Source organism: Homo sapiens, chromosome 3 (assembly GCF_000001405.40).
Source record: "Homo sapiens chromosome 3, GRCh38.p14 Primary Assembly".
NCBI lineage: Eukaryota > Metazoa > Chordata > Mammalia > Primates > Hominidae > Homo > Homo sapiens.
The window spans coordinates 66478133-66504146 of record NC_000003.12 but is presented as its reverse complement, the minus strand read 5'-3'; the positions used below and the strand labels follow the sequence as shown (position 1 = coordinate 66504146).

Genomic DNA, 26014 nt, shown 5'->3' with positions numbered 1-26014 from the left:
ACAAATTCAGTCCCCAGGAAGTTGTGTTAAAAAAAAAAATTCCTATGGTTAACCTTCTTTCTTGTTATTTTGTTATTTGCTTCTCTCCCCAATAGATTTCAGGCTATTTAGATTTTGGGTTCCTCTCTCAAGCATGATTAACTTAGGATGATTAACTGCTAGGGCTTCTGGAGTCAAGAGAGACCTGCAGAGATTCTCACTGGGGTTTGATTCCATGCTATCCCTGGGGTAGATGAAAATGAACTGGAAAATCTAAAATCCCCGGATGACTCATTTAAGGAATAAGCATTTAGAAAGATCAAAGTTGCAGTGTGAGGAAAATAAGGACCTACAGCACCCAAATCAACTGTTGCTCTGTGCTGAATGGACCAAGACTTGCACTTTTATGAGCAGAGACATAGATTCCCTTAGACATTTGCTGTTGTTGTTGTTGAGATCTCCTTCATCTTAGGTGGTGGCTGCAGATGAATTCCCCCCTGAGCTGGATATCACTGCTCTCCAAGTTCACACTCTCATTGCAATCACAAGCAGGTTGCTAGTATGTGGGCAAACTTCCATACATGGTATGGGGAGCAGACATGACTTCATGCTTTGCTGTAGACGAGAGGAACTGCCAAGGCTTAGGCGCCCTGTCCCCCCAAGTGTGCCCCGGCTTTGGAATCCTTTTCTCTGGCTGCATGGTAACCAGACCACAAGGGATGCTTTAGATTTGTGGGCACTCCCTCACCTTGCAGATTCTTAAATTCTATCCTCCAGAAAACTAAGATTCCAAAAAGGCATCTCACAAGTACACCCATACACATTTGAAAAAACATTTTACAAGAATTACCCACTTTTATAGTACTAGAAATGAGACAAACCTGAAAGATAATTTTAGGTCAGCATCTCAAGTAGTTCAATCAGTTCAATTCATTTTTTGCTGCATATGCTGTTTTATTGTGGGGTGGGGACAGGGAGGATCTGACAGTTTCATTTCAGGAAACGGCTGTGGGTATTCTGCATCAAATTACTGTTTTGTGTTCTTTGTGTAAAACTTAAACACTGACTGAGAGGACTTCATAAATTTAGGGTCTTTTTAATTCCATTCCCACTGCTTATTATTATTATATTTACCAAAAGGGATAGAACAAAAGGACATATTTCTTCTCGTCCAGATGGAAGGTGTATGTTTATTTGGATTACATATGAAACATAAAAGCTGGTTAAAGCTCTGGGTGGGATGGGTCAGGTGCAGCATTTTTCTGATAATATTTCTTGGGAATTAGATTTGAATTGATTTACCCACATATTTGAGCACTGCTTTGGGCATCACTGCTGAGATCATGCAAAATTAAACAAGAAAAAAATGAGGCGCAATGAATTCAGAAGGGGAAGAAGGAAAAAGGGGAGGAAGGGATAGGAAGATCACATTTTGGCTAAAGAAAAGAGGTGATCTTATGGCTGAGGGAAAGTTTAACACATTTAGTGCATCTCAATTAAAGCAAACCTCTTAGATTGTGTCGAAAATGGAATAAACCCTTTAATTTTTTTTTTTTTTTTGCCTTTTTTCCCTAAGGTTCAACTTCTCCTCTTTACCTCCCACCCCACCCCACTTCCATAAAACACAACTCAGATTTAATGTTCTGGAGCAAATGTTTTTCAACAGACTTGACCTGCTTAATCTTCCTGACAATGTGCGCAGTTATGTTAGTAATTTGCATACTCTTGGGAAGGGATATGAGACACTAGCAAACCAAAACGCCCAGAGGGCAGCTATATGTTACAGTGGTAATCTTTTTCTTTTTTTCTCAATGTGTGTATGTCTGCTTAATGTTACCACGTACTATCGTAACACACTACTACTATGGTCTGATCTTTAAGAGCAAAAGTTAGAAGCTTTGTTAACTATTATTTCTCCTTTAACTCTGTCTCTTACGAATACACAATGGCTTCTTGAAAATTATCTTAAAAAGACTCTGATTAAAACAAAAACCCAATGACAACAACAAAGCAACCCCTTTATCAAAGGCTGCAGCATTTCTAGAAGTACCCTTCAACTCACTAGCTGGGAAGGAGAGTGCACTTTTTTTTTTTTTTGAGACGGAGTTTCGCTCTGTCACCCAGGCTGGAATTCAGTGACAATTCAGTGACAAGTCTCTGCTCATTGCAGCCTCCGCCTCCGGGGTTCAAGCAGCTCTCCTGTCCCAGCCTCCCGTAGCTGGTATTACAGGTGTGCACCACCACACCTGGCTAATTTTTTTATTTTTCATTTTTAGTACAGACGGGGTTTTACCATGTTGGCCAGGCTGGTCTCGAATTCCTGACCTCAGGTGATCCGCCCGCCTTGGCCTGCCAAACTGCTGGGATTACAGGCGTGAGCCACCACTCCTGGCCGAGGGTGCACCTTTGAGACTAGGTTTCTGCAGCACACATTCATTTTAGTAATCAAGGACATATTGCTGGATTTAGGACGTGAAGAACAAGTCAGGAGCAGATGCTCCAGGCTGCTCGAGGAGGAAGGGGACCACGCCTAATGAAATAACCAAGGATGTCCCAGTCAGGAAGAAATGTGTTAAGTTTTAAACCTGTGTCTTCGCTTTTGGAAGGAACCTGGAAAACGGACGCGGGTTTGCTTCTAATCTGCAGTCCTGCTTGCAGCCTGAGGAGGACGTAAAAAGCCTTGGGGCCAGACAGCCCCAAAACGGGGGCGTTTTACCCTCTTAACTTTCTCTCCCCTTCTTGACGCAGAGGGCGTATCTTCACGCCTCCTTTCCCCAGCCCGCGTTCCCGTTCTCCAACAACAACCTGCGTGTCTCCTTTAAGAGGCGGGGGCCGTCCCTCCCTTTCTCCTCCCAGTCTCCCGCCCTTCACACCTTGGGTGGGAAAAGAGTGTGGGGGCGGGGTAGCCGGTGAAGCGGGAGGGGCGGGATCACAGCGAGCGCTCCAATGGCCCTCGAGGCTGGCCACGGTGGACTCCGGCAGCCAATGAGCAGCAGGCGGGGAGGCGTGGCGGGGCGCTGTTGCAAAGCATCCAACGTGGGCCAGCAGGCGGCCGCGGAGCGCGGAGCCTAGGGGGTGTGTGCGGGCGAGCGGCCGGGGGCGGGGCTTGGGGGACCGGCCGGGGCTGGGCCGCGGGGAGGCGAACAGCAAGCGGCTGATTGTTCGGCTGCGAGGTCGGCGGGACTCTTGCTGCGCGGAGGAGCCGTGCGGAACCCGAGGCTGCGCGCGCGCGCGCGCTCTCTGGCCGCGGCGTGGGGACAGCGAGGCGCACTGGGGCCTCCCAGCGCGGGGCCGGCCGCGCCGTCCAGCCCGAGGTCTACGGCTTTGCGCTCCGAGCCCAGAGGAAGATGCCTGCCGGCACCGAGCTCGGGCTGCGGGGCTGAACGCCTGTCTTCCAGGCGCAGCGGCAGCACTGCCCTCGGCCGGTGTCGGTAGCGGCACTCGGCGTGCCCCGGGCGGACGAAGAGCGCAGGCTGGGTACACCTTGCCCGAATCGGCGGAGTTCGCAGCTAGCGCGGGCGGGCCGGCCGGCCCGGATGGGCGCGGGGTTTGCGGCCCCCGCCGGGTGCTCCGGAGCGGCCCGGGCACCGGGGGCACGCTGAGTGCCGGAGCCGCGGCCGCAGAGAGAACTTGGGGCGGGGGCCATGCCCCGGTGCGGAGTCTAGAGCCGAGCGGAGCGCCCCGCGGGCCCGCCCGCGTCTGCGGCCGTTCGGGTCCTCACAGTCCCCGCGCCCGGAGTTCGCAGCGCGCTCCAGACAAGATGGCGCGGCCGGTCCGGGGAGGGCTCGGGGCCCCGCGCCGCTCGCCTTGCCTTCTCCTTCTCTGGCTGCTTTTGCTTCGGCTGGAGCCGGTGACCGCCGCGGCCGGCCCGCGGGCGCCCTGCGCGGCCGCCTGCACTTGCGCTGGGGACTCGCTGGACTGCGGTGGGCGCGGGCTGGCTGCGTTGCCCGGGGACCTGCCCTCCTGGACGCGGAGCCTGTGAGTGCCGCCCTTTCCGCCCTCTCTGCGCCCCGGGGCTCTGTCACTTGGGGATGGAGCGGCGGGGGTTCGTACTCAGGGAGGGGGTGCGGACTGGGTTGTGTGTGTGGAGTTGTGCGTGCTTGTGCGTGTTGGAAGACTGTCAGGTTGGAGTGGCGGAAGGGAGATTCTGCGTGGAGGTCCGGGGGAGTAGGCGTGCGAGAGAGCCTGGAGAAGAAGAGCGTGCCTCGTGGGGTCTGGAGACGAGCGAGCGTGGGTCGTAGAGATTTGGGGGTTAGCCAGCACGCGTCGTGCGGGCCATCTGGGGGTGAGTGAGTGGGAGTCTGGAGCTGAGTGTGTTTGCGGGTGGGTGGGTGGGAAACGTCTGGAGAAGAGTGTGAAGAAGTCTGTGGGGGTATGTGGGTGCGTTTCCTTTTCCTCTCCTGTAATCCAACTATTTGGTGTCTGAGCTCCTTGGTCTTCCAGTGGGTAATGAATGAAGGTGACTGTTGGGTCCAGTCTTTCGTTTACATTATTTATTAGTTGATAGTGTGTGTAGCCGTCTCCTGATCCCCGAAGACCGTGGTGGCCTGACTTGCCTCTCTGTGCGGGGCAGAAGGCAGTCTTCCCCCGAGGACCCCTGAGTTAGAGGGCTTTGACAGTTCCTGGCGACCTGTGAGTGCTGGGAGTTTGTCCTTTTACGCCTGTTTGGCATTTTACGGAACTGTGTTCCAGACCCTTCCTGTGTGTTCCCTGGGGCCCCATTGGGCTTGATGATCCAGTGGGGTGGGGCCCACCCTCAAGACTCTCTCCTCCATAAATGGTGCAAATGAGTTTTGGAGAAGTGCTGCTTCAGGAGAGGGTGCCAGGGGCTTGGCTGATTTAAGCTGTTTGTTTCACCCGAAAGAGGTTCTTTTCTGTGCTGTCAGGATGTGGGCTTATTAGGACTTAGTGGGACACTTCTTACAGGAGATTTGACAGGAAAAAAAAGGCATTAGACTTCTGTGTAAACATGGTAGAATAGAATAGTCTTCTTTTACTTCTAACAAATCTGGTGCATGAGTCAAATCCCGTTCAGTTATGGGTAATTAGCATCTCTGTAGAACCATTAGTACCTTTCCAGAAAAGGCCTAGCTTAAATAGTCCGCATTTCGGTTGAATAATTGGACATTTTTCCTAGAACATAGGAAAGGCACAGCAGTAACCTTAGGCATGACTATGGCTGTTTTAAAAAGAGAAAACTGGTGTCACAAGTTGTAACCAGCACCTGTGGCTTGATCGAAGAAAATGTGGCCTGTGTTCTGACTACCGTGAAGGGAAGAAAAGTTAATTCCTTTTAAATGTAAAGATCCTGTACCTCTCAAAATGGGGCACGAATCTTTAACTTGGCCCGAGACACTGCTCCATGAACAAGTACTACAGAGTTCTGAAGACAACCAGGAACCCTTTAGTTACAGTTAGGTTTTCAATATCTACTTCTTCTGTGGAATTTACTGAGTTAGTGAAAATCAGTGGTCGTAGGGTGGAGGCAGAGCTTTTGTGAAGTACTGGGAGATAGAGCCCAGTATTGTCCTTAGGTAGTCTCTTATTTAGTCTGGGGTATTGTGATTTTTCCCTTACATACGGTAGTTTTTTTTTTTTTTTTTAAATAGAATCATGTGGGCAAAATCAGATTAACTTCTTAAGTGTTCACCTGTTGGAAGAGTGACTCCCAATGCCATGTGTCAGTGGCATTGTGGGGAAAGCACTTAGTTCCACAGAAGTAACTTCCCAGAGAGGGCAGGGTGTCCTCTTATTTGCACTTTCCTATGGTCACAAGATCCACTTTGCCTTGCCCTTTAATTTTTGGAGCAAAACATACTGGTTATTTCTTTAGGCTTTCTGTTGCCTAGGAGTGACATTTCACATGGCATAAATACCTTCAAAATTGAAGTCCTTCTCTTTTACTCACACATTTGATGATCGAGAAATACCAAAGTGGGTATTTTGAGCATCAGTAGACTTTAGTATACTGATTATGGTGTTGACTGATTCGATTTTAAGATATGAGCAGCATGATTTCTGGTTAGTATGTAGCAACACAGTATGCAGTGCAAAATGGCTATCCTTTGAAAAATATTTGTGAAGTTTTCTTATTTCTGATTAAGGACAAATCAAGCAAATGTGTTCTTTTTTTCTAGACTTCAGACTTCTGAATTTAAATCATTAGTCTCCGTGAGTCTTATTCTGGAATTTCCATAAGAGTATTTATATGGTTTGTATTCCTGGCTAAGATTCAGCAAGACTTTAGGGGAGAAAGTGTCTGTATATGATATAATGAAATATCTTGTAGTTTCACCAAGTTTACACGCTCTAAGCCCACGGTGTCTAGAAAATGCTTTGAGCTAGTTTATAAACCCATGAACTGGATTTACTGCAGCTAGTTCAAACAACTTCAGGCTGTGGGTTTGAGATAGCAGAGGACCTGTGGCTTTATGGGACCTTTTTTTTTTTTTTTTTTTTTTTTGTAAACAGTGCGTCTGATGTGGAAGTTGCTTCTAGGCCTGATATAAGAAAAATAAAACTTTTAAATAGTGAATGTAAATGCAGTGTGAATAGAAGAAACAGAATGGATAATGATAATCGGTTCATTTTTGGGGCCTGAGGATAACTTTTCAGCACAATAACTTACAGTTGTAGTAGTCAAGCCATAATTTAAGTCTCCCAGCCCATTACGTAGGTGAGATTGGCATGGTCCAACTAGCACATTCATAAATAGCACCAAGCCACTGCCAAGCCTTATTCCAACTTCCCAGAACCTGAGAAGAAGTTGAACTTCTTAGAACTCAGATATTTGCTTTCTTTGAAATTATTTTTGAGAGCATGGCTTCAGAAGCTATTTAAGAAGTATTAAATACAGTTTACCTTAGACTCTTACCTGTGCCGTAAATTTCAGCAGTGTTTAGTCACAAAATGTTGCTAGTTTAAATGTCCTGAGAGCTGAATGGTAGCCCATTGGGATTGGGATTAGGATTAGGAAGGCAGGCCTAGAGGAAGAACAAACCCTGATTTTTGTTCTCAGTGTGGAGTGAAGATGACAGAGCATTCTAAAGCAAGGATATTCACAAAAGTGTATACCAAGTGTGGTTATCCTAAGCCACATTAAGATGAGTTTATTGATTTTGATCTCTTTGTACTATGTGTTTGCAATACCAGATCAGTTAGCTTAAATCTAACCTTGCCAGTTTTGGCAAAGAAGTGGTACTTATGATTACCTTAGAAAATAAACACCAACTGTGGTTGCCATTGTGGTTGGGAAGCAAAGAGGGCCTTTGTCTTTCAAATTTTACAGCTGTGCTGGAAGGCCCAGGTGTGCAGGGTGTTGTGAATTAAGGGTTTGGAAAATACTTTCCATCCTGTTTATGCAAATTAAGTTTAAAGTGCAGATCACCAAATTGTTCTGGAACCTAAACTGAGATTCATGTTTTTTTTTTAAAGTAGATTGTTGTATGGATGGTCCTGAAATATTTCCTTCTCCATATCACTTAAACTCAACAGACTTTGAAACAAAAGTCTTCCGATTTGTGGGACAGGGAAGAACCTGGGTTGTTTGGAATAGGGAGCATTTTAAACACAGGTTAATTGCCAAGAATACAGTCTGAAAGGTGCAAGTGCTCTTAGAGTTTCAGGGAACTTTAGCTTGAGCTCAGAGTCCTTTTCTTTTGCAACAAGTGTCTTCCCTCTTGTTGGGGGATAACTTGTCTGTTGATAGCTCTCTGACAACTTTTTTTGAGTAAGGTGAGATTTCTGGCAAATAATATTGGTTGTCGTGAGAAAAAGGCACACTGTTTAAGTCTTGCTGATATGAAATTGTGGCCGTAATATCTATTCTTTGAGTACTGCTAAAGTAGGAAGTGTCCAGAGATTCCCAGCGCCCCATGTAAATTAACTGTGTATTGGCACACAATGTCCCTCTTGCCTTTAGGACATGTCAGAACTGTTCCTGCCCCGCTTTTCAAGGGACTGTTTTAAAAAGTAGTGTATTGTCTCTTTGCATAATTATATTTGGTTACTAGATTTTACAGACTTTGGACTTTTGAACATATTATCAGCAGTAATTCTCGGAACCATCTTCAGAAAGATGAAGAAAAATTAAGTGTAGTGTGATGAGAGCTGGTTCCTAGTGGATGTCCTCATGTCCCATCTCCCCAGCTCTGCACCGTTAGCTGAAAGCTTTCCTCCCTCCAGTGTTAATTACTTTGCCTGGGTTCTCCCTGCAGCTTCCCTGAGTCCATTGGGACGGCCTCTGGCTGACCTTTCTCTCCCTCAGACACCATGATCACAATGAAAGGGCCTCTCCCGCTTCTGCAGGGGTGTCTCCTTGGTGCAAAGTCTTCAGCCTCCTCTCTTTCAGGGTGGACAGGAATGCAGGAGAGAGCACTGGGGTTTTGTGTGACTTAACAATGCACCTGGCCCAGTGCTGTGCACCTGCTAAAGCCCTGAAGGTCTGTTAGATAGGAAGGCTGGGTGGAGGTTGTTTAAAATAGCCTATAGTTATTTAAAAAGTGGCATGCACAGGAGAGGGAAATCTAGAAGAGGGATTCATTGAATTGAAAGTTGTTATATGCAGTAAAGGATGTTGGTTGTATCAGAGTCTTTCTTTCTTCTTTTCCTCGTTTGTTTAAAACATAAAAGGGATTCCTCTGACCTACCCCATAGGTAGAAGGACTTTAAGTTTCACGAGCAAGCCTAACTTTCAATTCCTTTTGAATGAGCTATGTGACATTTACTCACTGGGTACGTTCCCCCTCCTCAGTGACTGCAATTTGAAACCCTGGGGGTCTTTTAAAAGCGAACAGAACTCTGGGCCGTGTTAATATTCAGAGCTGTTTACAATGGATGCAGTTTCAAAGGCTGATGGCATTGTCTTGAGACAGGAGGGAGGACGGGTGGAGGAAAAATTCCCAGGCAGGGAAGGGCAAATATCTAAAAATCTCCAGTGTTTACCAGCCTGTGGGAAATTTAGGGACCGTTACTGTTATTTTTTATGACTTAAGCATGACACTGAGCCACTAGGGTTCATTCTATCTACCTCATGGCTTCAGTTCTTGTATGTCAGTTATGTGGTTATCTTGTGCTTTTGTTTCAAGTTAAAGTGTGGAAATTGGTAAGAAACTCAGATCTTATCTCCTCTGGAAAGAAATAGAGCACTTTGAAGACCAGTGGTTAACATTTTTATAATAGTTTACCTCTGGGACCTGCATTTATGTTTTGCTCAAAGAATTTGATATAGCTGCACAGTTTAGAAGAGCAGTCCCGACTGACCAATTAATTGTCCAATTATGACTAGGACTGAGAAGTTTTTTGCTGAAATACTTGATACATGACCATTCTTATTAAGCAAAATGAATGGATCAATAAAGATTGCAGAAAAAATTTGCAGTTTATTGATGGTCTAATTTCTAGTTGAAAGTCGGCAATTTGTGTCTCTTTTTTGTAGGGGGTGGTGGGTATGCTTGTGAACTTTTCTTATACAAAGGCTTTTTGCTTTATATGTTCTTATATTCTTATATTTTGTATAATTTGTTATCAATGGTTTTTACCTAAGTACTTTATGCATAGTCTTTTGAAACACAAGTTATAACTTCAATCTGTTCATAGAAGTCCTTCAGTTTTTTAAGCTGTTTCTCCATTTCACTGGGTTTTATACTTTTCATTTCCTGCCTTTAGTTCTTTATATCTTCTAAATGGGCATTTGCTACCCAGCTGTCTCCTGGTCTCCATTTGGGTTATTGACTGGGGGAGAGAATGGGCTAGGGACAAAGCTTTCCTCACCTTTACTGTGTTAAATATGCAGGGGCTCTTGCCGCTGGTGGTCACACCCAACTCACACTCGTCATTAAGGAGTGGCGGTGAAGGGGTTGAAAGTTAATTCTGTGGTCCATCCCTGGCACCTCCAGTCTACAGCTACATGTGTGATTTTGGGCAAACCTCTTCATGTCTAAAAAGACAGAAAAATGCTCTATCTTATAGAAGCTGTGAGGACAAAGTTAGATGATGCCTATATTTAGCTAGGTTCCTCAACTTGGGTCCATCTACTTTATGATGATTCTGGAGCACAATTTGAAGGTTAAAGGCCTCAGTAGCTCCAATTTATTATCCTGTCTCACAGCCAGTCTCTCCAAGCCAGATTCCTTCCTTCTTCCCTTCCCCTTCCCTCCCCCACTCCCTTCCCTTCCCTCTTTCTCTTTTTCTCTTTCTTTTCTTTTTCTTTCTTTCTTTCTCTGTTTTCTTTTTCTTTTTTCTTTCTCTCCTCCCTTCTTTCTTTTTTTCCTTCTTTCCCTCCCTCCCTCCCTTCGTCTTTCTTCCTTTCTTTCTCTTTCTCTCTCTCTCTCTTTTTTTTCTTTCTTTCCTTTCTTTCTTTCTTTTCTTTCTTTCGACAGGGTTTCACTCTGTTGCCCACGCTGGAGTGCAGTGGTGCAATCAAGACTCACTGCAGCCTCAGCCTCGTGGGCTCAAGCAGTCCTCCCATCTCAGTTGCCTGAGTAGCTGAGACTAGAAGGCTCATGCTACCACACCCAGCTTCCAAGCCAGATTGCTGGTGACAGAGGCTTTCCTGGGAAATGTTTACCTTTCTGCTGTGAAGGAGTCTTTTGGAATGGGAAGATGGCAGCCTTCTCCTGTGAGTTTTGGTGATATGTATGAAGCGGCCTTCTCCCATGGATTTTTGGTGATATGTATGAAGTGCCACAAGTGAACCTCATGTACCCTTGGAAATCTTAGCCAAACAGGCAGGAAGCTATGAACAGTTGCAACAGATTATATAATTAGCAAAAATTATTGAGGTATTTTATAAATCTATTCCAGTTGTACAAATAGTTATGTCTGTTTACCACTATCCTTTTGGAAGGGAGGCAGGTATGGGAAGGTGGCAGGGAAGTGAGAGGCCCTTAAACTAATCATTTTATCCTATTATTTCCCAGGGTTTCATTGAAACTGAGCCCTACCAAGGTGCAAGTAGCACCTCTCAGTCAATAGCTTGGAAAAATGCAGGTGTGCTCTTCCAAACAGGGTTAAGTTACAGACTTTAGGGCTAACTGAATCCTCACTGTACCCGCTTCTCTTTGGAAAACCTTGAGGGAGGAGGGAGGAGGGAGGACAGGAGACAATTGTGGAGTTGTATGCAAAGAACATTTTTCATTTGTTTTGGTCTGTTTGGAATTGCATAGTAACTTTGTAGGGGACACAGGCGGGGAACACAGGGTCATTTGAGGAATCTGGCAAGGATGCCACCTGAAAAGCTGTTTACTGTTTGCTATCACTCCTTGTGCACCTGTACCTGAGTTCCTTCCCCAGTGAATGGCCATGATTCACAGCCTTGCCCACGTGAACGGCCACGATTGTTTTCGTCTTTATTACTATTTAATCTAGCATAACCGGTAAGGCCCATTGTGCGAACAACCAATCTGTTCATTTCTGCAAGTCCTAATACATTTTGGTTTCCTTATGAACCAGGATGCAGGTTCTAATTACTGCTTGTTCAGTTTGTTTTGGCAAAAGGTGACATTTAGAGGGTTTAAAGAAAGCATGGCCTCTTTTTAAGTGTTTTGCGTTGATTAGTTTTTGAACTTTTGTGGTCAAAAGTTCTAATCTCTTATCTTTTATGATCTGCATTCTCAAGATCTCACATTATTGGGAAGAAAATGAAGGAAATGAGTGAAGGTCTCTCTTACAAGCAGAATTAGCTGGACTTTGAGAAACACGATGAACGTAATGCAGGGTTTTTCTTCTTTTTTTTAGCTGATTAGAAAAAAAACAACTCACAACTTTATTTTCTAAGACTCCTTTATGCAGCATTTAACAGCTTCCCCCTCCCTGTTTTGCTCCTTCCACCAATTTATAATTTGCCATTGAAATATTTTACTGCTTATCTTGGTCAAAGCATACATTGCACTGAACTTCTTTTCTTCCGGATTACCTACTTGATGATAGCCTGTTAAATGCAATGAGAAGGATTGAACACTTCTGAACTGGAGGATAGATAATCTTGCTGTTGTTTCAAATCTTGTAGTTCCAGTGCTCTTTTGTTTGAAAGCATTTGTCTCTCAAGCATTAGCACTTTGGGCTGGATAACAAGAAATTAACAAGCTGGGCTCTGCTTAGAGAAAACTTACAACTGATTAGAAAGTAAGCTGTTGCAGGTACAGCTTCTTTTTCTTGAGAGATGATCTGAAATACATAGCTTTTAGAAAAAATTTTGAATTAAGGGAACAGTTGATATGCAGGCAGGTAGTTTAAATAAACTAACTCACTTCTGTTGCTCTGGAGTGTTTTTTCTTACCTTTTGAATATGGAGAAAGGTAAATATCTACACAAGTGGACAGAATAATGTAATGAACTCTAGGTATCTGTCACCCATCTTCAACAATCATCAGCTGTCTTATTTGATCTATTTCCCAATATGCTGCTGCCCTTCCATGTTATTTATTTATTTTTTCTTTGGAAATAAATCAAAGGCATATCATTTTATCTGCAAATGTATAGGTTTTTTTTAAGTTAACAGCTTTATTGAGATATAATTTATATACCATACTATTTACTGTAGGGTGGTTTTAAGAAATTGGAAGTTTTGAAAAAATTGACATTCATTTTAACTGTGTTTTTCCAAAGGGCGTTTTGGTAAGCTATATATTTACAGAATGTTTATTGGGCACATTCTGTGTGCACCCTAGTTTATATGTTCTCAAAATACAGATTTTTTTTCTTTTGTAGGAGGTGTTTAGCAAGCTCTTTTGTGCTAGTCCTCTGCCAGAATGTGCAATTCTGATTAACCTTCCACTTTCTCCACATAGCTCTTACTTGGGAGGTTTCTACCAAGCTATTAATTGTTGATTAAAATCCATTAGTGAACAAACATAATTAGAAATGGAATAGATCATTTAAAAAGTGATGTCTCAGATACTGTTGTTTAGTAGAGGGATAATTAGCCGTTGGTTGTAGTTAAGTCATGAGTCTGAATTGAGTTAACTATTGTTTACTTTGTAAGGCCTGACCCTCCAGCTGTGGCTACTTGAGGCTGCTTTAAATAGAGTTAGAGGCAGCCTGTAAGAAAAATCTTCAAAAAGCAAAGAACTAGGTTCCTGGAACCCTCTGTGCTTGATTTAAACTTCACACAGATTTGAAAATGTGTTCTCCAAGTAGCTGCTGCATGGTTTGTTTTATTTTATAAAAGTCCATAGTTTAATTTCTCCTCAGTCCGGTACTTTGTTGGTGAGGGGGCTTCTTTAGAATGGATTTTTTGCTAGCTGCAGCTTCATTTAGGAATCTGAGTGGGAATTACTAGTCCTCCAAATTCCATTCACTTTATCCTAGTTTTTGGAATGACTTCCATCTTCTATCTGTGAAAATCAAATTCCAGGTAGATTATGGAGTGTTCGGTGGCCTTAAAAGCTGTCCAACATGGTCAGGTTAAACTGGTGGATCTGTGAAGCTTAATTAAATTTATATGATAACCGATTATACACCATTTACAGTGGGTTCTCTGTTTAGAAAAGTGGAAGCACGCTCCAATGCATTTTTTTTTTTTAAATTATGGGGCAGAAAAGCTTAGTATTGAGAGATTCTATGAAATTAAGTGCTGTTCTGCAAATTAGGAGAACACCATTCTTTCATCTGGTTTTAGCAGTGTGGTGGTACCTTGACCCAGCATCATGCCTCCGTCTTAGTTTTCGTTTTATTTTTAATTAAGAAGAATTTTTCTCTGTGTCTGTGGTTTCCTCCCTCCACCTGGGCTGGTGTGAGTTTCTGGCACACAAGCTCCCAGTGCTTGCAAAACTTATAAACAGTCAGAAGAGCTCGTTGCTTCCAGGAAGTGAATTGTTGATGCAATGAAGTGATGGATGCAGAGGCTGCAGCTCGAAGGGAGCAGGGTTTCCTTCCATCTTGGAGGAGGGGAGATCCAGAAAACAAGCTGACATGCCCTGTAGTTATTAAGATCTGCCTCATCCCAAATTCCTCTGATTGTTTTCTCAGATTTGGAGTCTGTGTAGGACTCTTTGCTTTGGGTGGTTTGGCCTTATCCAGGGCTATGCTTTACCCAATGGAAAAATCAGAGACTCTTCTATGGAGATTTTTGGGTTCTTTCACAAGGTCATTTGAAACAATACTTAGAAATGAGTAAATTATATTCATTTCATTACTATCCTAAAATAAAGATTGGCTGACCTTATTATTTACTTGGGAGAAACTTTATGTGAAGTCGTGGTGCTCAGAATGTCTTTCTGGACAGAAAGGAGACCACGTTTTCATGGAGTTTCTTAAAGGGGTGCTTGCCCAAAGAGGCATAAAAATGATTCACCTGAGAGGAAAAAATTAATTTTCTTAAAGTCATGAAAGTGAGGATGTGGTAGAATGGGAAACTAGCTCATGGCTGGGCCTCAGGAGACGTTGGGGTTTCGTCCCAGCTCTGCCACTGATTGGCAGCATAACCTTGGGCTAGTCACTTCATTTCCTGTCTGTAAAGGGATGTATAATTTCTAAGACCCCTCATTTTTAGGTTCATGATTCTATTCTAATTGAAGCAAAAAGGGAGTAAACTTATATTTCATTGGATGGTAAGAATTAAATTGATCTGTATCTAGGATACTTAAACATTCTCTCTCTCTCTGTGTGTGTGTTAGACACACACACACACACACACACACACATACACACAAAGGGTCCCACTCTGTCACCCAGGTTGGAGTGCAGTGGCGCAATCATGGCTCACTATAGCCGTGACCTCCCAGGCTCAAGTGATCCTCCTACCTCAGTCTACTGAGTAGCTAGGACTACAGGCATGTGCCACCACACCTGGCTAGTTTTTATTTTTTGTGAAGATGGGATCTTGCTGTGTTGCCCAGACTGGTCTTGATCTCCTGGGCTCAAGTGATCCTCCTGCCTTGGCCTCCCAAAGTGCTGGGGTTACAGATGTGAGCTACCATGCTAGGCCAATGTTTGCTACTTCTGAGTGAAATTCTCAGATGGATACCATAAGCAGCAAAGAGAAAAAAGGGTATGTGCATGCAGAGTCTCAATGAGGGACCCTTTTGTGAGCCTTGAGATATTATTGAGGAGGAGTGAATACTCCACAAAGAAAGTGGTGCTTTCCTTCATTTTTACCTCCTTTTCCCCTCTGGCCCAAAGAAAACTGTGGAGGCTGGTACAGATCCACTTTCGATCTTTGATTTAGAATTTTAAGAACTTAGGTAAAAATTTAAAGAAAAAAAACCAGGAAAATAAATTACAGGCATGTTTTCCCAAAGGGTCCTTTCTCAGGGCCACTGCAGGCAGCATCTTTCTCAGGCAGTCCTTCAGTGAATACTTGCCATAAGTGAAGTTGTAAATGATGCTGAGAAACTGCCTTTAAGGACTGGATGGGCCACCTGTCACATTCTATAGTCATGGCCACAGGAAGGGCAGCTACTCACTGCACTGCCTGTTCTTTCTGGGCCAGCTTGCCATCCCTTTTACCAGGGAGATCTTTCGTGTATCCCTTTCAAGATAGAAACTCAGCCAATTAACATGTACAGCCTAGTGGCTTCCTTTTTCTTTTTTGAGGCAGAGTCTCACTCTGTCGCCCAGGTTGGCGTGCAGTGGTGTGATCTCAGCTGACTGCAACCTCTGCCTTCCTGGCTCAAGTGATTCTCTTGCCTCAGCCTCCCAAAGAGCTGGGATTACAGGCGCCTGCCACCAAGCCAGGCTAATTTTTTTTTTTTTGTTTTTTTTTAGTAGAGACAGGGTTTTACCATGTTGGCCAGGCTGGTTTTGAACTCATGACTGACCTCAAGTGATCCATCCACCTCAGCGTCCCAAAGTGCTAGGATTACAGATGTGAGCCACCACGCCCGGCTGTGGCTTTTTCTAATTTTGAAGTCTGACTCTGTTTTTGGCCAAATTCATATTAAATTTACCCATCTACCTAGGTTTGCATTGGTTACCTCTTAGTTACACTGTTTTTGAAAATCTTGAAAATTATGACAGTAATTGGACTCCTTAAAATACTTTTCATGGAGAATCTAGAAGCTTTTATTTTCTTTGTTCTGGATGTCCACTTTTCTTCGACGTGGAATTTGTTAGTGCCTTCAGTGGAAATTCTTGGGCTTTTCTTTTCCTTCCACTCATTCTTTATCGTGTAAATTTTCATAAAACGAAACTTCCGGATTTAAAATTTATTTTTATTTTTATTATTGTTTTCCGGAACAAATTCTTGGAATTTGGAGTTTTGTTTGGGGATACAACTAAAATGCAATGAAGTTGGAGGAACAGTTAGTGGTCTGGAACTTCTTGACAGAAGTTTAACAACAATTAGGGACTACTTTAGGAATAGAGTGTCCAAAAAACTAGACTTTACAAAAAAAATTCTCCCTTTAAGAACCAAAGATGACCTTTTTCCATTGTGCTTTCTGAGCTCAAAACAGGCCAAATGATGTTCCCACCCTTCTTCGAGCCTCGTGTGTCAGTGTCACACACTCTCCCTGTTACTCACTTGGTCTCGTTCTGGTGAATTTATTGTTGACATCTCGTCCTTTCCCGGAGGAATCTCTGAGTCTATCTGATTAGGTAACTCTTCACACATCCCTGTATGTGTGTATGTGTGTGTGTGTGTTTCTCTCCACTTAGACTTGAAAGCAGCAGGGATCATTCAATTTCATGTACCTAGGAGTCCCTTGATAATTATTTGTTTATTGCCTTACCACTTTGTCTTGGAGCTTGGTACATTCTTTCAGGGCAGAACGGATCCCCCAGTTTCATTGTTTCTCTAAGGGGTTCTGAGGTTTACCCCTGAAGTGTAATTTTTCCTGATTGGCCTGTGTGGAGGACTTCATAGGAGTGTTTTTAGAATTTAAATATCAGGAGTAAAAGGCCATTTTCTTTGTGCTGAGGGTCTGTTTTCCCCTCTGGAGCCAGCGGCTAAATGCAGAGGCTTTCTTCAATTGCTGTTGCTTCTTGCAGTGTGGCCCCTCAATGAGAAGTCATAGCTTGTGGTTTGTCTGATTTTATATGTCAGAACTTTTAGAGAGAATATTTGACCTAAAACAAAAATTATGGATAGTCCTCTCTTCCTTTCCCATTTCTCCTTATTTTCTACTTTCTGCTTGAGAACCACTTCAAAGAATCAGATGTGTTGGTGCCAGACGCCGTGGAGTTATTGTTAGAAGAATTTGGAAATATAATTGAAAGCAAACTTTGTTGAGCAAAGCAGATCTAGGCAAGTTTTTACTTTGAGGGCGAAGGGAATTCCAAGTTTTTCCTCTATTTGGAGCTGATGTCTCAGAACACTTGTTCTGTGAGATGAATCATCTGTGAATTCTACATCTGGGAGTTATATATTGGGAAATGGCATTCTTTTTAAATGTAGAAGAAACACAAAAGCGTAAAGTTACAGTGTAGTTGGAAAATTCTAGTCAGAGTTTAAAATACTAGCATTGAGGTGAAATTGGCAGAGTGATTGGACGTGAGTCTGTGATACCTAAAATAGACATGTCCATACATGGAAAACAATACGATAGCCACACTTACTTATTGTGACCCTTTTCGTTTGTTTTGAGACATTTTTAAAAAGTCATAAACATCAGCTATTCAGAATCATTAGTTGAGTCGATTGTGACTTGAGAATCAGAATTTAAGCGTTTGTCTTGAGCTCTTTAAGTTCAGGTGCCTTGCTAACCAGTGAAAAGCCCAGAGCAGTGCAGTATTTCAGGGTCTTCAGGGGAAGATAATGTTGTGTCCTTGTCTTCTCAGAGTCCTGCATTCCAGGCATCTGGTTATGAGGGGCCATGGTTGTGGGGATGCAGCAGCTGTGCGGTTCATGACGCACGGTGGTTAAGAGGCAGCTCTGGGGCCTGGCTGCCTGGGTGACCTTGGCAATTTACTCCACTTCAGTTTCCTTTTCTGTAAAATGGGGATAATTGTAGTGCCGACTTCCTTAAGCTTGTTATAAGGAAAAAAATGAAATATTTAACACAGGGCCTAACACACAAGCAGAAGCTTGAGGAAGGGTAGCTATAATGTTATTATTATAACTGTCGCAATAATAGTGTACCTTTCTGCAGCAGGATATATCTGTGTTAACTGATCATCACCATCTTAACTCTATGAAAAATATTGTCTCTGTTGTATACATGAGGCCCAGAGTAGTTGAATGACTTGTTTAGAGTCTAGCACTTGCCAGTTAGAATTCAGACCTGCGTGTACATGTTTAGAAGAAAATACGGTAAGACTAGCACTGCCTTCTTTCTGGCCTCCCTTTGACGTCTCTGAATTCCTGGAGGCCGATTGGTCTTTGGTGGCTTGAAGCACCTAGTGTAGTTCTGGCTGTACAGCTGGTGCTCTATACATGGTGTCTTGAATGTGATCTTGAAGAGCGTGTTTCTTTGTTGGTAGGCGTGTGTGTCAGATCCATTTTTGGTTTGCCTGTTTGGTAAAGGGGGTGGTAACATGCACATATGTTTTGCCATCTGTTGTTTATTGTTTCTGTTAGGTTGTGGTTTGTGTTCCTGTTCCATGTTCCTTTGGTTTCTGGAGCAACTGCGAATATTATATGCTTGGGGATCAAAAAAAGTAAACTATTTATAAACAGTAAAGTATCCTTGGGTTTGGAAAGTGTTTTTCTCAAATGCGTGTATATTTGTTGGCTTTATGATCATCTCACTGATGAATCGTTAGATAATTTGCAGACTGAGACACATCTAAAAGATGGGCGAGTCATGGTCCAGCCTTGTGTAACCAGCTCACAGACAGCCTTGGTGATAAGGCCCTGGTGTTAACGCTGACCCGAGTGGTGTATTTTTAACTCAAGAACATATAAACAGTTTAGCCTGCTGATGGAGTTTATGCACCGCCTGAAATCTTTGGCATGCCTTGGATTTGTGGCTCTGTAAGATGTACGTAGTCCTGGGAGAGTGCTGTGGCCGCCAGTGACCCACTGCCCCCACCCTTCATTCAAAAGAAAAGGAATGTAGCAGCAAGATGGAAGGAGAAAGGTGGAATTTATCAATAATTTTGTATGATAATTTTTCCTTTTTTTTTTTTTTTTGAGAGGGTCTTAATCTGTCACCCAGGTTGGAGTACAGTGGTGTGATCTTGACTCACTGCAACCTTTGCCTCACAGGTTCAAGCAATTTTCCCACCTCAGCCTCCTGAGCAGCTGAGGCTACAGGTGTGCACCACCATGCCTGGCTAATTTTTGTATTTTTTGGGGGTAGAGACAGGGTTTCATCATGTTGCCTAGGCTGGTCTCGAACACCTGGGCTCAAGCAATCGCTGGCCTCGGCCTCCCAAAATGCTGGGATTACAGGTGTGAGCCACCATGCCTAGCCTGTAGTATAAATTTTATCTTAAATTTTTTTTGTCATTACTATTTCACTTTGTTATGCAGACTTTAGAGGGAGGAGAGAGCTTTTTACTCACATCTGTTTGCAACCCCTTGCCCCCAGCTGTAGGGGTCTTTGCAGAGTTGCAAATTGGAGCACATGAATCCCATTGTTTAAAGCTGTTACTGTCCACCTGCCCCTCATCGCGCTTCTTACCTGGCCCCACCTGTCCCAGCCACCACGTGGGGCTTTTTAAAAAGACTTTTTAAATACCACCATGTCCCATGTCCCTCACCCACCATTTCCTCTGTCTGGAGAATGGGTCTTCCCTCTTCGCCTTGCAGATTTCTGTTCATCTGTCTTAAACGTTTCTCCCCATAGAAACCATGGCTGACGTTCCCTTTAAGTTAGATTCCCATCGTGAGGATTCTGCAGTGCTATGTATAGAAGTTTTGTGTGAATGTTTGATTCGTTTCTGACTACCCCATTAGTCTGTAAGCTCCCTGAATGCAGTGACTGGCTTTGTTTCCAATCCACCATTGTATTCCCAGAATCTAGTGTGAAGCCTGTGACACATTAAATGCTCGTGACAGATACCAGTGTAGATAGAGATAGTGGCATTCATTCTGTAGAGTCCTGTATGTCCTGTGGAAATACCTCTGCCAGATAGAATAATTCAGACCTCCCAGGCTTCATCTGTGTATTTCCTGAATATACCTTGCTTGTTTAGTAGCTTCCTATACCCCTCACCACCCTCCACCAAAGTCTCTTAAGTGTTGAGAAACTTAGAAGAATGGAAAGAAAGAAGAAACAAATAGAACCGAAGTTGAAAAGATGACAGGCTGTTTACCTGCCACATTTAGAATTGGCGGTCTTTTTGGTCTCTCTGAATTTTGGAAAAGTCCCATATGCAAGAATTGTCACTGAAGTGGCTTTGTAGTTAAAGCAGTGCATGTGAACTGTCCCCACATGAGGTCCTCGGGCGCCTCGTCCCTGCTGGATTGCTGGTGGCTGTCCTTGGCAGGTGGGCCAGGCTCAGGCGCTCTCCTCTGTGTTGCGTTTGGCGAGGGAGCCCGCGGTGCCCTTCCCAGCTGTTGACATGGTCTCTCATCTGCTCTTTTGCTGGAGCCGCGTTTTGGAGCCTGCTTTTCCAGAGTTGACACTGCAGGGGAGGGTGGCTTCTTCCATAGACCGAGGCTGTCTAGACACCCTTCCCCTTGTGGTTATTCTGCTCAGTTTATGCTGAGCCCTCGCCAGGCAGCTGGTTTCGGTTGCTTGAGCTCTTACTTTGCTCAGGCCTCTGCTTTGACAAAAAGGATGACCAGGCCAAGGTAGCTTTTCTCCCTCTTTGCTGCTGGCAGAGAGAAAGACTGCTTTCCTTGACCAGAGGGAGCTGTGAGAACACTAAGGACAGGTTACCCTGCCCTCTGTGGACCCAGCCCAAGTAACTATGTAAATTGATAGAAGCTTCTATGGCAGGAGACTTCAGGCAGATACATTTCTAAATCTGGGCCTTTTTAGCTTGGACTTCAGATGTGAGACATTGGCCCCCACCCCCATCCTCAGACACGCAGGATCTCCATCCATGGCAGAGAGAGCACTGCGAACCCAGCTGGCAGAGCTCCTCTCTGGGCAGTCTCCCAGGCATGCTAGCAAGGGGCAATGGGAAGCTGTGTTCTCCCTGATGAGCTCAGCCTCACATGTTTCTTTTAATGGCTATCGAGATCTTGGACTGTGATGCTGTAGGGAAGCCTTTTGTCCCCAGTGAGCTGGAATAGTCTAGGCAGATTACTGTCTTGGTGGCCTTACGGGGGGTGCTGGAGGGGGTGCTATTGATCTGTTAGCCTAGTTACTATGTCTTTATTACTTTTGATTTTCTGGTGACAAATGTTAGGCATTTATTGAATAAAGAAGAAAGTACAAAAGAAAAAACAACTGATTTCATTGTTCGGTGATAAATATTATCACTGGATAGTGTATAAATTTCCAGTAATGTGTGAGGCTGAATACCTATTTCAGTTATGTTTTAAAGACTCAATATCTTGAATATTTTCCCTGACTTTAAGCAGTTTTTAAAATGTGCTTTAATATTTATTGTATAATAAATTATTACACAACTTACATAAAACTTGTAAAGTTTCTCTGATATTGGGCATTTAGGCTTTTTCCTAAGCTTTGATAGACATCCTTATGCATAAATGTTTAGCCATTTATTTCCTTAGGATGAGTTACCCAATTCAGATAGCGCTGGATATGCAGATTCTTAATATTTTCGGTACCACTGCCTCTGAGAAAGAGGCTGCCAACTTACATGTGAACTTGTGCTTGTCCCACACCCTCACAAACATTAAATGCTGTTTATTTCTGTAATCATGTACCAGTTTAATGGATGGAAATTGCCTCAGATTATTTTAATCTGCATTTCTTTGGATGTTGAGGCTGAAGACTTTACACAGGATACTCCCAGATATTTCCTTTTTCAGTTTCCTTCCTTTGTTGATGCTCAGCCCAGTACATCATCTGCTGTCCTCCACTGTGGTCTTTGGGCTTGAGCACAGTACATCTCTTTGGTACTAGGGAAGCTGTGTTTCTGAGAGAGCACAGGTGTAATTGCATAGAAAACTGTGCTCTCAACAGGCATGTCACATGTTTTGACTCTGAACCAGGACATCTTTGGGTTCTTCTTAAACAGATGTGGACGCGTGTTGCGGAGGGGACTGTTGCAGTGGCTCTGTTGATCCTGTACTGCTGCAGCCTTCTGCAGAGCCAGCCTGCCTGTGCCCAGGCTGCCCGGTCTGTGGCCAGGGTGCCTGGTACCTACAGCTGGTAGGAATCAGCGCAGATTAGCGTGGCTGAGAACCTTTCAGGAACAGCTTCCAGCAAATGGAAATTATTTTAAAACAAATTTATGTGGTTTTTCTGTCAAACCTACTTGGAGCATAAACAAGGTTGAATTGTAAGCTGCTTCCCTTCTGCAAGCGAGCCCATGTTTAGAATGTGGCTTTCAGCAAAGTAAACATGGTCTCGAAAGTGAGTTGTCATTGTATGCATGTGCTTTGAAAAGTAAAAGTAGTGCACTGAACGAGCATTCTCATAGATAATTGTGATAGAGTTTTAGACATCCCTTCTCGTTTATTTGTCTTCCTGCCACAAAGATCACTACTTCCTGTAAAGGTTTTAAAGGTAAGGAGTAATTTGGTATTGAAAGGATTAAGGGAAAGAAATGCCAGGTCAGTTTCTGTGGTGAGAAGCATTTTAATTTTGCTCCTTTGCCATGGGGAATATAAAAAACATCTTTTGAAATACTTAATTCTGTGTGCATGCGTGTGTGTATACACGTGTGTGTGTGTGTGTGTGTACATAAACCCTCCGGTCTGTGCATCTTTGAATTCTCTGCCAATTTCGAGGTGGTTCCCCCCACCCTAGGGACAATGTCGGCTTTATTAAATTGGGCACAGCCTCCCTAGAAGGTGAAACAATGCTTTTAATGTTCTGATTATATATTAATGAACAACCAGGCCAAGGGGCACTTGCCAAAAAAGCTACAAAGTGAGAAAGCCACCAATATCAGAGTGAACTTTGCACTCTGAAAGTGTGAATGATGTTGGGTGAAAGAGTTTATGGCGCAAGGGGAGCAACTGGAATCTCTTTGATGTTGTGTAGCATCCTGGCCCCATTAGACTTTGGGCCTTCCCGTTTAACTGCATCTTTGCTGGCGAGGGCAGTGCTGAGGTGTGGTCTGAAATATAGAGGGACCTCAGCCACAGAGGACTGGCATACCTGTGCTGGGCAGGGGGACCGTTGGCCATTTCTATCTGTTTTCAATCAACTTCAACAAATTTTAATCTAACACTGAAACATATAGTTTCACACCCCCACCCTCCCAGCTTTTACTCTGGAGGGACTTTCCAGAAATAGCATGCTATTATTCTCAAATCCGCCTGCCCCAACCACAGAAAAGGGTTAGATCTTAATCTTAATCTAACTGATTTATTTTCTCCCCATTGTGGTGACATTTCCTCCTGCCTTCTGGCTTGGTCTTAATTTTTGAATGGCCACTGGGAGCCCTGCTTTCCACAGCCTTGCTAAATAATTTCTCAAAGGAAGAAAAGAAATGCTCTTTCAAAATGCCAAGAATGTGTTTTCTGTGGGAGGGTAAACTCTAGCTGAGGTTTTCTGCATCTGATGGACTCATGGACAGAGCTTGGGAGCGAGTATAGGACAATCTGGGAAGCACACAGAAGCTGATGTTCTTTCTGGGTGTTCTTTTGGGTGTTCATTTATCTCCTGGCACGTAGAGGGGCAGTTCTTTCTGCATTTCTGTGGTATGGAAGTAGCTAGGTGGCATTTTCAGTCTGGAATTCTGAGAGCCTGCTAAGGTGGGCAACAGGACTTTTTTTTTTTTTAAATAGCTTTTTTGAGATGTGATTCAAATACCACAAAACTCATCCTTTTCAATGATAGGATTCTGGGTTTTTAGTATATTCGTAGATTTGCGTAACTACTAATCTAGAACATTTTCATCACCCCAAAATAAAACCCTGTACCCATTAGCACTCCCTGCCTATCCTTCCTTCCTCCCATCCCCCGGCAACATCTACTTTCTGTCTCTATAGATTTGTCTGTTCTGGACAATTCATATAAATAGAATCATGCAATATATGGCCCTTTCTTTTACTTAGTTACTTAGCACAGTGTTGTCATGATTCGTCCATATTATGGCAGGTATCAGTACTTCATTAATTTTTATGGCTGAAGAATGCTTCCATCATGAGGAGAGACTGTATTTTCTTTATCCACTCATCAGTTGGTGGACACTTTGTTTATTTCCACTTTTTGGCTGTAATGAACAATGCTGCTGTGAACATTTGTGCGTAAGTTTTTGTGGTGAATGTATATTTTCACTTGAGTATATACCTCGGGCATATACCGAGGAGTGGAATTACTGGGTCATATGGCAATTCTATGTTTGACTTTTTGAGGAACTGCTAGACTGTTTCCTGGAGAAGCTGTGTGCACCACGTGGCACATCCACCAGCAGGGTATGAAGGTTCCCATTTCTGCACTACCTCACCAGCACTTGCTATTATCTGTCTTTTTAAATTTTAGCCATCCTAGTGGGTGTGTTGTGGTATCTTGTGTTGTGGTTTTGATTTGCATTTCCATAATGACTAATGACACTGAGCATCTTTTCATATGCTTATTGACCATGTGTATATCTTCTTTGGAGAAATGTCTATTCAGTTTCTTTGCCCGTATTTTAACTGAGTCCTTTGTCTTTTTATTGCTCAGTGGTAAGCAGAGCATGTTTAGAAAGTACAATTTCAAGCAGCTTGGGGTATTCCCCTGGTTGGTAGTGTGCTTTTCTCTATCTTCCTCAGGCGAGAAGAGTTTTTATTTTTAAGACTTTGAAGATCTACAGGTAGAAGTGTAATGCCTCATAACTTGCCCGTCTGTTTGGAATCTCAAGGGAAAAAGAAAATGTGGCAGGAAAGAGCAGTGGTTTTCCTTGCAGTGAATCCAGACTACAGACGCTCTAGGGGAGCTTATTACATAGTGTCCCTAGGAGAATGGGAGAATTTGCTCTCCTGTAACCTAAGGAAATTGGCTGTGCATATGCATTTATGGAAGAGCCTGACCGTTTTCTCTGCATTTCCTCTGTTCCGAGGCAGGTCTGCCTTTGCCGACGGAGCTTTGCAGCTATAAATTAGACAGAAGTGCAGTATTGAGGCTGTCCAAGTGCAGGCAGGGTAATTGCTCTGGACAGGTTTACAATAGGGAGGTGTGAAGTGCTTGGTGGAGACCAGAAGCTGGGGGAAGGGAGGACGTATTGAACTTGGGCGGCTGCAGGGTGATGGGCTGACAGAGCTAATTGAAAACTATGGCCCCGGTGGCTTTTAATGGGAAAGGGAGCCGAGGCCTGCAGTGGTTTCCTTTAGAGCAAGAAACCAGAAGGAAAATGGCTCATTGAGCTACTCAGGGAGTTAGTACTAAATCTCTGCAGGCCTCTGGGGGTAGAGGGTCAGGTTTTCTGAGTTTTGTTTTTAATTTCTTACTCCTTAGTCCCATTCTAGATGAACTGACAGGAGGGTGGTGGTGAGCTTGAGAAAAGGCCTGCGGGGACATACTGGAAAAAAAAGCTGACCCGTACAGTGGAGACCCTTGGAGATCCATGAGTTAGGGAGATGGTCAGCGGGCTGAACTGCCTATAGACAAGTGAGATAATAATGACATGGTAGCCTCTGTTAGTCCTCTAGTCAGAGTTTATGGTGCCAGGGCCTGGGAATCTGCATTGTAAACAGCTGTTGGAGGAAATTGCTTTGGAGTCTTAAATGTGAGGGCAGACTCCCTGAAGGCACAGCCTACCTTATTGACCTGTGTGGTCCTCCTGGCACGCAGCAGGTGCTTAATAAACACCTGTGTGCTTATTTCCAAACCAACTGTGAGTTACCGTTGGGTTTTCTTTCTTGATAGTATCCAGGACACTGCTTTCTCATGTCCCTGAAACTCCTGCCTGCGCACACCTGTCGAGATAACCATGGGTTGGCTGTCCTACACATCTGCCCTTAAGTTAACTGTTATTTTCTGCCCCATTGGGGTTAACTGGTTACCTTTTCAGGACCACCTACATGCACTGAAATTAGTTGTGTATTAAAAGCAAAAACGTAGAACCAAAAACTGGATTTATCTCCATTTATTTCCAATTCCATGGTAGCAACGTGCAGAAAGTCCTTTTCAAAGGCGGC

At 43.8% G+C, this 26014-nt stretch overlaps 1 protein-coding gene across 6 annotated transcripts in view, besides 8 other annotated features; it reads left to right on the top strand.

Moving 5' to 3' along the window:
* Nucleotides 2756-3415: a silencer, noted in NCBI's record as "silent region_14508". NCBI's record gives its function as "represses an Ori minimal core promoter by ATAC-STARR-seq in GM12878 lymphoblastoid cells {active_cell/tissue: GM12878}" and the evidence as "EXISTENCE:reporter gene assay evidence [ECO:0000049][PMID:35858748]".
* Nucleotides 2756-3575: a biological region, named in NCBI's record as "H3K27ac hESC enhancer GRCh37_chr3:66551043-66551543".
* Nucleotides 3026-26014, top strand: part of LRIG1 (leucine rich repeats and immunoglobulin like domains 1) — a 122325-nt gene continuing 99336 nt past the window's right edge. For 4 of the 6 annotated variants that reach the window (XM_047447939.1, NM_001377344.1, XM_011533578.3 and 1 more), the window contains exon 1: nt 3125-3957. In XM_047447939.1, the coding sequence (XP_047303895.1) occupies nt 3740-3957 (218 nt within the window). In that variant the 5' untranslated portion in view covers nt 3125-3739. Of the gene's footprint in view, nt 3055-3124; nt 3958-4092; nt 4265-26014 lie in introns of those variants that run through there. The other 2 variants (NM_001377345.1, NM_001377346.1) reach the window with 2 other exon arrangements.
* Nucleotides 3028-3528: an enhancer, noted in NCBI's record as "H3K27ac hESC enhancer chr3:66551043-66551543 (GRCh37/hg19 assembly coordinates)". NCBI's record gives its function as "activates a minimal SCP1, AML or CMV promoter by ChIP-STARR-seq in primed H9 embryonic stem cells {active_cell/tissue: H9 hESC(primed)}" and the evidence as "EXISTENCE:reporter gene assay evidence [ECO:0000049][PMID:30033119]".
* Nucleotides 3436-3575: a silencer, noted in NCBI's record as "silent region_14507". NCBI's record gives its function as "represses an Ori minimal core promoter by ATAC-STARR-seq in GM12878 lymphoblastoid cells {active_cell/tissue: GM12878}" and the evidence as "EXISTENCE:reporter gene assay evidence [ECO:0000049][PMID:35858748]".
* Nucleotides 3529-4029: an enhancer, noted in NCBI's record as "H3K27ac hESC enhancer chr3:66550542-66551042 (GRCh37/hg19 assembly coordinates)". NCBI's record gives its function as "activates a minimal SCP1, AML or CMV promoter by ChIP-STARR-seq in primed H9 embryonic stem cells {active_cell/tissue: H9 hESC(primed)}" and the evidence as "EXISTENCE:reporter gene assay evidence [ECO:0000049][PMID:30033119]".
* Nucleotides 3616-3695: a silencer, noted in NCBI's record as "silent region_14506". NCBI's record gives its function as "represses an Ori minimal core promoter by ATAC-STARR-seq in GM12878 lymphoblastoid cells {active_cell/tissue: GM12878}" and the evidence as "EXISTENCE:reporter gene assay evidence [ECO:0000049][PMID:35858748]".
* Nucleotides 3716-3925: a silencer, noted in NCBI's record as "silent region_14505". NCBI's record gives its function as "represses an Ori minimal core promoter by ATAC-STARR-seq in GM12878 lymphoblastoid cells {active_cell/tissue: GM12878}" and the evidence as "EXISTENCE:reporter gene assay evidence [ECO:0000049][PMID:35858748]".
* Nucleotides 8148-8442: a silencer, noted in NCBI's record as "tiled region #8313; HepG2 Repressive DNase unmatched - State 4:PromP, and K562 Repressive non-DNase unmatched - State 24:Quies". NCBI's record gives its function as "represses a minimal TATA promoter and a strong SV40 promoter by Sharpr-MPRA in HepG2 and K562 cells {active_cell/tissue: HepG2 | K562}" and the evidence as "EXISTENCE:reporter gene assay evidence [ECO:0000049][PMID:27701403]".